Source organism: Homo sapiens, chromosome 15, assembly GCF_000001405.40.
Source record: "Homo sapiens chromosome 15, GRCh38.p14 Primary Assembly".
In the NCBI taxonomy this organism is placed as follows: domain Eukaryota; kingdom Metazoa; phylum Chordata; class Mammalia; order Primates; family Hominidae; genus Homo; species Homo sapiens.
In genome coordinates this window covers 81,060,315-81,075,502 of record NC_000015.10, presented here as the reverse complement: position 1 = coordinate 81,075,502, position 15,188 = coordinate 81,060,315, and the positions used below count along the sequence as shown (strand labels likewise).

Genomic DNA, 15,188 nt, shown 5'->3' with positions numbered 1-15,188 from the left:
AGTGAACCGTCATGATGCATCACTTTCAGTCCAGAGCAGTTAGAAATAAAGGTGCCTCCTCTATACTCATGTTTCTCCCTCCATAGTAACTTGGAGGCCAAGTGTTGAAGGTGGCTGAACTACAGGTTGGAAAAAGCCTGAACCTCTGAGTCAGTGCTTATATGGAAGCTGGCCCAGAAGAGCTGTCCCACCAGAAACATCTGCAGGGGGCTTTTATAAGCAAGACATAAACTTTTCTCATATTAGAACACTGGCCTATAGAAACTCATATACCCTTTGTAAGTTGCTTTCCTCTTGCTCCAGAGCCAATGCCAGAAAAATTTTTTTTTAAAACCTGCTACAGATGCTGTGGCTCTGCTCTCAGACCTCCACTGAAAACTGAAAACATGCTCATGCACAGGCTCTCTGGGGCCTGGTCATTTCCTCTGCCAAGGATGGCAGCCAGAACCCAAAAGGAGCTACTGATTCATTTTGAATGAACTTTACCCGCCTCATAGTTTTTTTTCATTCTGATCTATTTAATCTTTCCAGGAATTTCAAGCTCCTAGAAACCAGAGTTCTCAGAAGCTAATTCATCGGCCAGAATGGCTTCATAAAAACAGCAGGTGCTCTGTCAGGAAGGCCTGGAACCAATTCTGACTCTGACACCTGTTTGCTACATAACCCTGGGATAGTTACTTCACTGCTCTGAACTTCAGTTTCCTCACCTATAAAATGGAAATACTCACTGAATCAGACAGACATCCTTAGGGACAGAAAATCAAACTCAACTTGTTAAAATAAAACAACAGGGAGTCGATGGGATAAATAGCTGAACAGGCCAAGGGTCTACTTCAGGTGCAATCTGACCTGGGACTCACACATGACTAGAATCCATGCTCACTTTGCTTTCACATGCTCACCTCCACTGTCCTCCTCTAACCCCTCACCTCCACACCTCCCCGCATCCTGGACAGTTCCAGGCTCTGTTCTTATGGCTCACAACTTAGCACCAAAAGCCAAATAGAAAAGAGAATTTGTGTACCAGTATATCCAAGTTCATTCTGATTGGACCAGTGCTAGATCAGATGCTTATCCCAAACCATTGACTATAGCCAGGGAAATAAGTCCCTATCCTGTCCATATAAGAGCATTGGAATTCTGTTTGGTTTTTTTTCTGAGAATTTTCTCATAACTACTTATCTGTTCATTATCTATTTTATCTAATAAACTACCCTAAAACTTAGCAGCTTAAAATAGCAAACATTTATTATCTCTCAGTTTCTGAGGTCTAGGAATCTGGAAGTGGTTTAGCTGGAGGTTCAGGCTCAGGGTTCTCATGAGATTGAAGTCAATCTTTCAATTGATGGCAAAATCATCTCAGGACTCTCCTGGGGCTGACGGATCTGCTTCCAAGCTCATCTGCATGATTATTGGCAAGCCTCAGTTCCTTTCTGATTGTTGGCCAGAGACTTCAGTTCCTCACCACATGGGCCTCTACACAAGGCTGCTCACAGCATGGCAGCTAGCTTTTCACAGAGTGAGTAATCAGAGAGACAGAGAGAGATTGACTAAGACAGCAGAGCTCATGACAGATGGAAGACACTATAACCAATACCATTGCTTCTGCCATATGCTATTGGTCATCCCAACCAACCTTGGTACAATGTGGGACTACTTTAATAGCAGGCAGTGAGGATCATAGGGCATCCTCTTGGAGACTGGCTCCACACCCATCCAAATGGTTCTGGGAGGATTAGGTTCACCAGGGTGTCCAACTCATCCCAGTTTGCCCGGAACTGTCCCAGTTTTAAAACAGAAAGTCTGTATCATGAGAACTCCTCTGAGTCTCAAGCAAACTGGGATGAGTGATCACCCCAAGAGCTACAGATACTAGGAGGAATGATGAAAGATTTTTCACAGGACATTAGACATTAACTCATTTGACCTCTTCACCTTCCCCAAAGGGAGACTGAGATCTACAGAGGAGAAGTGACTCGCCCAGGATCAAACAATGAGATGGGGCAGAGACCAAGTAAGATCTCAAGTCTCCTGCTTCCCAATCCAGTGCTTCCCTTGCTCCCCTCACCCCAATTCCACACTTTCGTGATGAGCGCTAGCTCTTCCTTTGAGAATAAGGTGTTCACGGTAGTTTAGTAAATTGTTATTTAGGAACCCACCATATTGTTCTGTTTATTTTGCACTTCAATAAAGTGAGGCCATAGCCCAAACAGAAGTGGTCAGAGCCTAGGAAGGAAGAGACAAAAGGTGACCACCTGTAAAACAAATAAGCAGGACAGAAACCAGGCATGGTGGTGCATGTCTGTAGTTCCAGCTACTTCAGGAGGCTGGGGCAGGAGGATCACTTGAGCCCAGGAGTTTGAATCCAGCCTGGACAATATATTGAGACTCCATCTTGAAAAAGAAAAGAAAAGAAAAGAAAGGAAGAAAAAGAAAGAAGGAAGGAAGGAACAAAGGAACAAAGGAAGGAATGAAGGAATGAAGGAAGGAAGGAACGAAGGAAGGAAGGAAGGAAGGGGCAGAGAACAACCCAAAGCAGAAAGAAGATTTGGACCAAGGCCTAATGTTCTTACTCAAATTTCTAAAATATTTTAGGCAGATTATTTAACTTCTCTGAGCTCAGCTACCCCATCTATTAAAAGGGTGTATGCCAAGTGTTTCCAATTTCCAGGCTTCCAGATTTCTCCAAGATAATACAAACAATTTCGTGCTTTCTCAACTCACCCCTGCTACTTAGGCTATGCCTAGCGGGCTTTTTCTTTCTCAGCCTCACCTCACTAAGGTATTTCCTCAACAAAAAGTCACAAAACCGCAATGAGACACCATCTCACACCAGTCAAAACGGCTATTATTAAAAAGTCAAAAAATAACAGATGCTGGCAAGGTTGTGGAGAAAAGGGACACATACACGGTGAGAATGTAAATTAGTTCAACCATTGTGGAAAGCAGTGTGGCAATTCCTCAAAGAGCTAAAAGCAGAACTACCATTCGACCCAGGTTACCTGTATCCTATTCTATTTCTGTATCCTATTCCTAGGATTCCAGGAATAGATAACCCAGGTTATCTATTTGGTATCCCAAGAATAGGATACCACTCTTATCCCCAGGTATAAGAATATACCTATTCCGCTGGGTATATACCATTACTGGGTATTCCATGGTATATATGTACCACATTTTCTTTATTCGATCTGTCAATCATTGATGGACATTTAGGTTGATTCCATGTCTTTGCTAGTGTGAATAGCGCTGCAATGAACATTCACGTGCATGTGTCTTTATGGTAGAATGATTTCTATTCCTCTCTGTATATACCAATCACGCAGATGAGCTTGGAAGCAGATGTGTAAGCCCTAGTAGGGTCGTGAGATGATTTTAGCCTCAACTGACAGACTGAATGGTATATATACCATTGCTGGGTATATTCCCAGAGGAATAGAAATAATTCTACCATAAAGACACATACATGTGAATGTTCATTGCAGTACTATTCACATTAGCAAAGACATGGAATCAAACTAAATGCCCATCAATGACAGACAGGATAAAGAAAATGCCATACATATACACCATGGAATACTACACAGCCATAAAAAAGAATAAGATCATGTCATTTGGGAAGATGGATGGAGCCGAAGGCTATTATCCTTAGCAAACCGATGCAGGAAAAGAAACCCAAATACCATTTGTTCTCACTTACAAGTGGGAGCTAAATGATAAGAACTCATGAGCATAAAGAAAGGAATAACAAACACTGGGGACTACTTGAGGATGGAAGGTGGGAGGAGAGAGAGGAACAGAAAAGACAACTATTGGGTATTGGGCTTAATACCTGGGTGATGAAATAATCTGTATGACAAACTTCCATCACACAAGTTTACCTATATAACAAACCTGCAGATGTACCCTCGAACCTAAAATTAAAGTTAAAAAAAAAAGCCATCACTTTGTATGAAATATACCAATCTCCTAGCAGGCAAAAGTGAATGCAGACAGTTTTTGTCATAAATGGAAATGGATATTGCCTAATCTACTTGGGATCTTGGCAGCTCAAGTGAACTAATGTGAGGGTATGAAAGCAGTGGTAAGCTTTACAAAAATATGAACTAACTTATGTGGCTGTGGAGGCTTTCGGTCACTTTCCCAGAGTCTGATGTCATAATTTTCCCATGTCCTGATGCTCTATTCTCTCTCTTTCTTAACATGCTGGGGCACTGTGGAGTGTGAGCCAGCCAGAATAAACTGAACCTCAGGGCACACTTCTTTGCAAGGAAGCAGGCTTGTAGGGGTGTGTGATATGGGGAAGCCTGACTCTTGGCCCCAGACTGATGATTAGTTAGGCTAGCTATGTCTCCCAAACAAAAAGAAGCAAACTCTGCCAAATATGCAGGGGACGAACTTAACATCTGATTGGGCACAGGGGTGCTCCTTCCTTCTGCATGAGAGAGGCTGGTAGATGTCCTCAAGAGGCAAGAAGCACAAGGTTTCCCTTCTTCAAAGGGAATCCTGGGTTCTGTTTCTCTTTACCCGGAATAATAGTTTCAACTGCAATTTGAAAAGGCAGAGACCAAAGGGAACTCCAGGGACTTCCTTGTCTTTGAACCTCATTAAATGGCTCTGATTTCTTTTCTCTTTGCTTAAGTAGATAATAATATTGCCAATAAATACAGCCCAATGTATCCTCTGCCAAAGACTGGATTGATGCCTTAATAAAGGAAAAAAATTATATTTAGGAAAAGTAAATTTTACATTCCATATATAATGAGAGTGCACTGAGTGTGGAAAACTGGGCTTCAAGCCATGAGGGATGTAAAGATGAGTAGAACAAAGTTATTCAGCAGAAGTAGTTTACAGTGGAGGAAAACCGCTATGCCGTGGACAAGCGCAGCCAGGATGAACAAAAGGCTGAGTATGTAAAGGTCCCGTTGCAGGGTGCTAGAAGGAAGGGCAGGCATCACCGTGTGAGAGAACCGCCTTGAAACTGACATCCAGAAAAGAGTCCTTGACAGGTTTGAAAAAAAGAGAAAAAGCCCCACACAGTGACCTCTTTCTTCAAAATACATCGTTCAATTCCCTTTGATCACTTTCAACAATGGCAATCAGGATCTAGATTTGAGCTTGAGTTTAATTCCCCTACCTCCCAAATGCTAATTGAAATGGCTGAAAACTTGTAATCTGGGAAATGCCACACCAGCAGTAGTAAATTGGGAAGGGTGAGCTCTTTGCAGTGTCTGACCCCCCCTGGTCCTTCCCTGCCTTTCGGAATGCCGTCTTCACGTGGTTTCCACCGACAATCCAATCTCGGGTTTTCCTCCCACCTGGCTGGCCTCTCTTCCCGTATCCTCACCCTCTTCCTGACCTCTACATGCTGGGGAGCCAAAGAACTCAGTCCTGGGAACTCTCCACCATCTATGTACACCCCCTAGTGGAACGTGTCCAGTCCTAGGGCTTTCTTATATAGCTCATGCGTCCTCCTAGATGCAGTCCAGCCACGTCTTTTCAGACTACTGCGATCCCCGCCCTCATTCTTGTCCTCCTGCTTTTATTCTTCACATGGCTGCTAGGATGCTCCTTTTAAAACCTAAGTCAGATCACATCACTTGTATCCTCACACTCAACCACGGCTCCTATTCAACGCAAGTAAAAGACAAAAATCCTGACAATGGTCTACAGGGCCCTACCTGATCTCACTCTGGCTGCCGGTATTAGTCTGTTCTCACGCGGCTATGAAGAACTGCCCGAGACTGGGTAATCGACAAAGAAAAGATGTTTACTTGACTCACAGTTCAGCATGGTTGGGGAGGCCTCAGGAAACTTACTATCATGACGGAAGGCAAAGGAGAAGCAAGGCACCTCCTTCACCAGGTGGCAGGAAGGAGAAGTGCTGAGCAAAGCAGGGAAGAGCTCCTTATAAAAACCATCAGCTCTTGTGAGAACTCACTATAGTGAGAACAGCATGGGGGAAACCGCTGCTATGATTCAATTACTGCCACCTGGTCTCTCCCTTGACACGTGGGGATTATGGGGATTACAATACAACAGGAGATTTGGGTGGGGGCACAAAGCCTAACCATATCTCTGCCTTTATGAACAATCTCCTCCTACACCTCCCCCCCTCGCTCCACTCCAGCCACCTTAGCCTTTCTAATGTTCCTTGAACATTCCAGATTCTCTCCTGCCTTGGGACCTTTGCACATTCTGGGCCTTCTGCCTAGAACACTCTTCTCAGATACTCATACTTTTCACTCCTTCATTTCCTTCCAGTCTCTGCGCAAATGTCACCTTGCCAGAAATGCCTATCAAGGTCACTATTTAAAATAATGTCCTCTCCCTCCCCCATTCTCTATCCCCGTAAACTGATTTTATTTTGTTTTCATTTAACATATCCCTATCTATCATTATGTTATATATTAATCTGTTAGCTTCTGCCTGCCTTTCCCTTTACAATGTACGTTCTGACTACTGTGACTAACCCTTAGAACCATGCCTGGGCACAGTAGGTACAAGGTAAATACTTGGGAATGTACAGATGAATTCATTAATCAATTAATCCATATGCCAGTTACTCAAGACCTTTTTTTTTTTTCAGTATAGAGCGCAGATAAGACCAAATAAGGTTGAGCATGTAAGGAAAAAGCACTCCTAAACTGTGAGTGGACAAAATCTGCAGCAGATCTACAAAACACTCCCAGGCCTGGATCAGTAGGGCTAGAGGAGAGGGCCATCCATGGCGCAGTTTCCCTTGGAAATCTCAGCCCTCCAAACAATTGCAGGAAGCACCTGATTCTCTAGGCAGTGAAGTAACAAGACAACCGCAGTGGATGCTGAGATGTGCTGCTCAGGTTGACTGAAGAACTGAGCACCCCCCTCCACTGCTGCTGGACATGCAGCCACTGGTCAGCTTTCTCTGGAAAGAGCTGAAGAGAACCACTTTGCCCAAAGTCCACACCCGCTTCTAGGGCAGTTCACCTCCAGTGACTATTAGATGTTCACCCCATCTCCAGGCAACTTCAGAGGGATATTCCAGCTTCAGATGCTGCTGTGCAGTTGGCTGGGACCTCCTGAGGCTGCATCATGGCCCAATTTTTCCCTCTGCCCATCCTGCTTCCTTTCCATCTCTTCCACCAGTGTAAGCTTCAGGAGTACTCTCCAATAAATTTCCTTCCTCCTAGTCTCCAGCTCAGAGACTACACCCAGGAAATGCGACCTACAACAATATTTCAGAGAGATTACACTACTCTCTGTATGGTGAGCTGGAAGAGAACAGAATCAAAGTCTCTGAGACTAAAGATCAGGCAATGGCCAAGAGCAGTGTCTCACGCCTGTAACCCCAGAACTTTGGGAGGCCATGGCAGGGGGATCACTTGAGGCCAGGAGTTCAAGACCAGCCTGGCCAACATGGCAAAACCCTGTCTCTACTAAAAACACAAAAATTAGCTGGGCATCGTGGCATGTGACTGTAATCCCAGCTACTCAGGAGACTGAAGCAGGAGAATCATTTGAACCTAGGAGGCAGATGTTGCAGTGAGTCGAGATTGTGCCACTACACACCAGCCTGGGCAACAGAGCAAGACTCTGTCATAAATAAAATAACATAACATAACATAACATAACATAACATAACATAAAATAACATAAAATAAAATAAAATAAAATAAAATAAAATAAAATAAAATACAAGATAAAATAAAAAATAAAATAAAATAAAATAAAATAAAAAATAAAATAAAATAAAATAAAAAATAAAATAAAATAAAATAAAATAAAATAAAGATCAGGCAATACCAGATGTTACAATAGAGGAATGGTAAAAAGATGGAATATATTCACTCATTGGACTATTACACAGCAATTAGATAAACTAAATCTAAGTATCCAAATGGAAAAATTTCAAAAATATAATCTTCAGTTTAAAAAAAAGAGAAGTTGCAGAATATATGCAATACTTTTTTTATTAAAAAATACGCAAAAATAATACTATCTATTGTTTTCATGGATGTAAAATGTAATACAAGCATAAAAAGCACAGACCTGAAGGGCATCCACAAATTTCATGATGGGGTTTGTTCTAAGGAGAGAAAGGAAGAATTAGGATTAAAAAAAACACACAGCCGGGTGCGGTGGCTCACACCTGTAATCCCAGCACTCTGGAAGGCTGAGGTGGGCGGATCAACTGAGGTCAGGAGTTCGAGACCAGCCTGGCCAATATGGTGAAACCCTGTCTCTACTAAAAATACAAAACTCAGCCGGGCATGGTGGCATGCTCCTGTAGTCCCAGCTACTTGGGAGGCTGAGGCAGGAGAATCGCCTGAACCCGGGAGGCAGAGGTTGCAGTGAGCCAAGAGTGCGCCACTGCACCCCAGTCTGGGTGAGACTCTGTCTCAAAAAAACAAGCAAACAAACAAACAAAAACTACAAAGGGGATTTCAAGAATATTTTATTTCTTACATTTAAAAAATCTGAAGAAAATGCAACAAGATGATAGCATCTATTACATTTCAGTAGCAGAATTAAATGGGTATTTGCTAAATTAGGCTTCATCTTTTTCTATATTTAAATTACTTCAAAATTATAAAAAATGTAATTCAAATATTAAAAAATTAAATCACAAAATAACCAAAATTTACTTATAAGTAAATAATATAAAAACAAAAAGGAACATTTTATGAATAAATGCAATGAAAAAATCACATAAAAAGATAAATTCGACTTTAAAACAGTATAAGTGTGCACTGAGAAGTGAAGCACAGAAAGGAAAATTAGTATTAAACAGTTCAAATTTAGAACAAAAATATTCTGAATTTAAAAACAAACCTGCAATAAAATGACAAAGAATCAATATCATAATTCATAATGAGCTCATGAAGAAAAATCAATAGCCTATTTAGAAAAAATAGTGGGTAAAAGTAAACAGGTTATTCATAAAAGAATAAGTACGTTTTAAAATTAACCCACTACTAATCATCAAATAAATGCAAATTAAAATATCTTTTTTAACCCATCAAATTGGCAAATATTTTCTTAAGATAATATGTAACTCTAGCAAGAATTGGAAGGTTGAATCAATAAAGATAAAAAGAATTTCTCATTCATTAAGGGCAAGAGTATAAACTGGTTGAGTTGGAAAACAGTCTGTCAATATGTAACACAGTCTTTAATATGTGCATCATTTTCCTTTACTCGCTTCTAGGAACTAGCTGAGGAGTCAATGGGGAGGTGCACAAAGATTTACTCAAAAATACATGCTAGGCTGGGCGCGGTGGCTCATGCTTATAATTCCAGCAATTTGGAAGGCTGAGACAGGTGGATCACCAGAGGTCAGGAGTTCGAAACCAGCCTGACCAATATGGTGAAACCCTGTCTCTACTAAAAATACAAAAATTAGCTGGGCCTGGTGGTGTGCACCTGTAGTCCCAGCTACTTGGGAGGCTGGGACAGAATTGCTTGAACCTGGGAGGCAGAGGTTGCAGTGAACCGAGATCGAGCCACTGCACTCCCGCCTGAGTGAGAGTGAAATTCCATCTCAAAAAAAAAAGAAAAAACAATGCTGCAGTGTTACATTTAATATAAAAAAATTGAAAAGAGTTAAAGTGCCCAATAGAGAGACGCTTAAGCAGATCATTTTATACCACATGAAGGAATATTGTGCACCACAAAAGGTATATTTCCAAGAGACATAATAATGACATGCAAAATTGGCACATTACAAATATAGAAAGCAGGATCCTTAATTAGGTATACAATGTGCTTCTAATTTCATGTGTCTATCTATGTGCATATTTTATGCTTAGAAACCATACACATGAACAGGTTATAACATAAAATAATATCACCTCAGGTTTTAAAAATATCTATGCATATGAAAAACTGGAAGACCCATTTATTAAATATCGACATCATCTCTGGACTTGTGGAAATTAAAAGACAGTCATTTTTTTCCCTTCTTTATCTACCCTATATTTTAGAAAGTATATAACTGAGTCAAAGACATAGGAACACCTCTTTAAGAATTTCCTGAAACCCAAGGCTTCACTGTGAGTCGCAGGAAAGAGCCTGAGACTTTAAATGATGAAACAGGTCCAGTGGTCAGGGAACCTAACTATGACAACCTAAGCCCATCCTGTTTAAATCTCTAATGTGGCCGCTGTTGCCATTTCTGAATGGATTTAAGATGGTATAAGACAGGCCTCTGCTGAGCTGCCCTGTTCATAGCTGAAAGTAAAGCAGCCTCTACACCCAGCATGGAGGCCCTCAGATGGAGGCTTCCTTCCTGTGTAGCTTTCCAGCCCACCACCAAGAGAACAGGGGCCTCTCTCCTTCCTTGGCCTCCTGTAGCCTTGTTTGTCTCCTGCTGTCCTGTCACCACGTGCTGTACATCTCCCTTAACTTGAGCCCACCTGTAGGCCTTTGCATTTCAAACTGCCTGATATTCTTCTGCTTACCCATTTACATTTTAGGTTTTTCAGTTGTGGTTATTTGTTTGTTTGAGGCAGGGTCTCACTCTGTTGCCCAGGTTGGAATGCAGTGGTGTAATCATGGCTCACTGCAGCCTTCACCTCCCAAGCTCAAGCAATCCTCTCACCTCAGCCTCCTGAGTAGCTGGGACCACAGGCACACACCACCATGCCCAGGTAATTCTTTTTATTTTTTGTAGAGATGGGGGTCTCACTATGTTGCCCAGGCTGGTCTCGAACTCCTGAGCTCCAGTAATCCTCCTGCCTTGTATTCCTAAAGTGTTGGCTTTACAGGCATTAGCCACTGTGCCCAGGCTTCCACTTATTTTTGAACGCTTGATCTTGGGTTCCAGAATGTTATCTTGCATTTCAAATTCTGCTCTATTTATCTATGTGTGGGTCAGAAAAAGAACATAAGAGCTCAGCATACCTACCACTACATGCCTCCATTTGCAAAGACTCAAAGTATTCCATTCTTTAACTCCATGAACGTTTCACAAGAGAAGCAAGGCAACAAATCAGAAACAAATAGTACAGTGACCAACTTATGCCAGTGTGCCTGAACTTTCCTGGTTTTATCATGGAAAGGTTCACATCCCAGTAACCCCTGTCCCAGGAAAACCAGGATGTTTGGTCACCCTGGAGAGGATCCAAATTCCTTTGGCAATAGTATAGGGCATCCTCTCTGATGCTCAGAAGGGTTTGTTGATGAATTGGACAAAAACCTGGATATCGGAGGAATTTAGAAAAAAATAGTTTTATCTGGCAGCTAGATATAGGTTTAATGTAAATATTTAAATACGGTTAAAAGCAAATAGAGCACTTCCCTCAAACAACAATCTTGACTTCACAGTCTCGAAGGATCAAAGAACTTTGAGAAATTCACTGTATTTATTTCAAGGATATTATTCACTTTCTCACACTGTATCCTCTAATGAGGATTAAATTGATGATGTGTCTTACATCTTAGTATTAGGAATTGCTCCGTTTCACTTGTGTAGCAGGCTTATTTTTTTTTATGGACACTAGATTCTATAATTAGTGCTGTCTTCCTTTTTACCTTTGTTGCTAAAAGCCAAAAGCCAAATTTGCATTCAAACCTTTTAGTGAAACATATGAGATATACGGAATTATATCTCATATGTGCATTAACTTTGCCCATAGATTTATTTTCTTTTTCTTAGCCATATTTTCTCTTTTAATTTCTTATATTAGAAAACAACATTGCAGCCGGGCACAGTGGCTCACACCTGTAATCCCAGCACTTTGGGAGGCTGAGGCAGGCGGATTGCTTGAGGTCAGGACTTTGAGACCAGCCTGGCCAACTTGGTGAAACCCTGTTTCTACCAAAAATACTAAAATTAGCCGGGCATGGTGGTGTGTGCCTGTAGTCCCAACTACTTGGGAGGCTGAGAAGGGAGAACTGCTTGAACCCGGGAGGCGCAGGTTGCAGTAAGCCGAGATCGCGCCACTGCACTCCAGCCTGGGTGACACAGCCAGATTACATCTCAAAAAAAAAAAAAAAAAAAAGAAAAAGAAAAAAAGAAATAAAACAACATTGCATAATATTCATTTATTCTACAAATGATCATTGAAGAGATACTATTTTGGGTTCTAGGGAGAGAACAGTGAACAAAACCAAGTCCTTGCTCTCATGGAACTGACATTCTAGTGAAGAAAGACAGACAAAATAAATAAATACATTAGGTGGTATTAGGTGCCAAGAAGAAAGGTGAAGGGATGGAGAGTAAAGGCTTCTCCAGGGAGCGAGACCAATATAGCACAGTGAGAGGCTGCTACTGTAGATGGGTAGTCTGGGACAGCCTCTTAGAAAAGGGGATATGTGAGCAGACACAAAGAAACTGAACAAGTGAGCTGTGAGGCAGAGGGAATAGCAAGTGCAAAGGCCCTGGGGCAGAAGACTGTTTACATGCTCCATAACAGCTAAGCATCCAGTCTGGCTGCAGAGAAAGTAGGGAGGAGAATTGGTAGGACCTGAAGCCAGAGAGGAAAGGAAGCCATATCAGAGAGGATACTGTAGACCCTGGACAGGACTTTGAGTTTTACTCTGATGAGATGGCTCCCATACTGCAAAATCATCAGGCTGTTGTATTGATAGAGGACTGTGGGGCAGGGTGAGGATAGTTGCAGGAAGATCAGAAACAAGGCAACTGAATAGTCCAGCTAGGAGATGCATGCAGGATAGTAGCAGTGGAGACCATAAGCAGTGGTGGGGTTCTGGACACATTTTTGAAGGTAAGTCCAACAGGATATGCTAGGGGTTGAATGTAAGGTAAGAGTAAAGAAGGGGACGTGAAGATGACTCTGAGAAACTAGAAATAGCATTGAGGCAGGTAGCATAGCATAATGCAATGGCTCTCAACCCTGGTTGCCCACTGGAATCATCTGAGGAGCTGGGAAACCCTATGAGGACTTCATCCTACCTCCTAGAGAATCTGTTTTACTGGTCTAGGGTAGGGCCATCCACATGTCCCTTCTTTCACTCATACCTTACATCCAACCCCTTGTAGAGATGCACATGCCTAGGAGGGAAAGGCAGTGGGATCAAGCCTGAGCGAACTTGAAGGATCCCTTGGCCAACACTGAGGACCAGGAATGGCTCGGCCCCATGAAGGGTTTACAATGGCTTTGAGGAGATGAGGATTAGTTCCTCAGGGCCCTTCCTACTCACAGCAGCCTGACACCACAGCCACATTACACATCTTGAGGATTAGCCTTCTCTACAGGAAAACTGAATAGATTCATCTTTCTTCTGATACCTTAATCTCTCAATCATCTACTTTAATAACCATTTTTGTAAAATCAAATATCGAAAGTTAAGAATAGAGACCAGGCTTACTAAAGCAACAACAGTCACACTGAAATGCTAATTCAAAGAATCTGCACTCCAGTCTCCCATGACAAGCAATGCCTCAGATTCTTTAGGAATCAGAGTGCAGGGCCAAGGTGATGAATGTGGTTGTACAGTTATCCAGTCTCATACATCTGCATCCCTGAGGAGTGGTTCTGCCTTCCGTTAGTCAGGAGGCACTGCACACTCTCCAAGCCCAATATAAATGAGCGTAGTCAAGAGCAGAATTAATCAACTCAATAACCAAGTCATGGGAAAAGCAGGGATGGAGCCAGCTTCAGAAATTACTGGAACCCTGAGCTCTTTCTTCTTCTTGTGGTTCCTTATGCTGGTTTCATTCGCTTCAGATTCACTTTCACTGTGGACCATGGCTTACACCTTCAGAGCACTCTGACATTAAGAAAAGCAGGCAGCTCTCTCCCAGCTCCAATTTGAAAAAATCCTAGAAGAGGACTTTGATTCCCCTAGCTTGGGTTGTGTGCCCATCCTTTTGGCCAGGAGGTCAAGCTCTGTTACTATGTAACAAGGAGAAGAGCTGAGCAGACAAAAGTAATAGAGGTCTACAATTCCCTGCCACCACAGCTCGTGTTTATTCAGTCACTGCTCCCTGAAAAAGTGGTCCTCAAAGTGCACTTTCTGGCTACAATGGCCACAGAGGCATAAGGTCTGGGTTAAGAAATATCTAAGACTGCTTCATCTGTGTTCCACCCTCATAGACTCATGAGTCCTTTCTCAAGCAAGCATAAAATCAATGCAATTGAATCTTTTTGTTGTTGTTGTTTTTACAAAACACTTTGTGCAGAAGGCTGAATTTTAATCTAAGCAAATTGTTTCTGGTGATTATAGGATAACTAAAGTTTACTGTTCTAGATCACTCTACAAGTCAACTTTCCTTCTCTGATTTTAGATCTATTCAGAGAGCATCTCCACTGTGAAAAACATTTATGATAATTTGCTGCCACTACACGGACTTCCACAAACTCAACCTTCCTTAACCCCAGAAACCACAAACTTTCAAAAATGATGACAAGGGGAAGAGATGAAAGATGCTGGAGCAATGCAGCATAAATCCCAACCCACTCCTCTGCTCTCCACACTGTATGGATGGAGGTGCTGAGGAAGTTGGTGGGGTGAGGAGAGGCCTGAGAACACTCACTGATAGCCTCCAGTTTGGAGTGACATTGATCTAAGTGGGTGATCGTGTGGCCTGGGAAAAATGTACAATAATAACCAATGTCAGTAGGGCCCTGACTTACCACACCAGTAGTTGGGCACCCAGTGGAATGGGGAAGGGGCCTGAGGGCTGTAAGAACAGACTCCAGGGCTCAAAGCTGTTAGAAGAGTGACACGAAGGTTAAAGAGGGGTCCCCCACTGCAATCTCCCAGGAAAAAGATACACCCCCTCCTGCTTGTGGAGGGAGCCCTGGAATGGCCCGATAAACAATCTTTCAGATCAGAGTCAAGTCCAGGTCCTCAGTCAAGGCTGTGCAAAAACTCTGTGACATTTCCTCCTTCCCACACTGTATCCTTGGGTCCAGGAAGGCAGAGGAGCCTGTAAGCTATTCTCAGACCATAGCCATACAGGGAGGGCCAACAGACTCAGACAAGCTGGGAGAGGGAAAATTATTTTTTAAAAAGTGAAAGAGATACTACTACTAATAAGCACCACATCAATATTTTCACAAGTGACTCTTCCAATCTTTCAAAGAACACTTCATCCTGACATCACTTTCACTGTTCCACAGCCACAAATACCTGAAAACAACAGAAGAAAAAAGAAAACTGAGAGAAGTCACAAATTTAAATGGCCTCACAGTCTAGGAAGGTGACTAAGACGGGTGACACTGACCAACTAAAAGCAC

At 42.3% G+C, this 15,188-nt stretch overlaps 1 annotated feature.

Moving 5' to 3' along the window:
- Positions 14,591-14,780: a silencer, noted in NCBI's record as "fragment chr15:81353064-81353253 (GRCh37/hg19 assembly coordinates)". NCBI's record gives its function as "represses an EF-1alpha promoter that drives an FKBP-Casp9 reporter gene in an ReSE screen in phorbol 12-myristate 13-acetate-treated (for megakaryocytic differentiation) K562 erythroleukemia cells {active_cell/tissue: K562(+PMA)}" and the evidence as "EXISTENCE:reporter gene assay evidence [ECO:0000049][PMID:32094911]".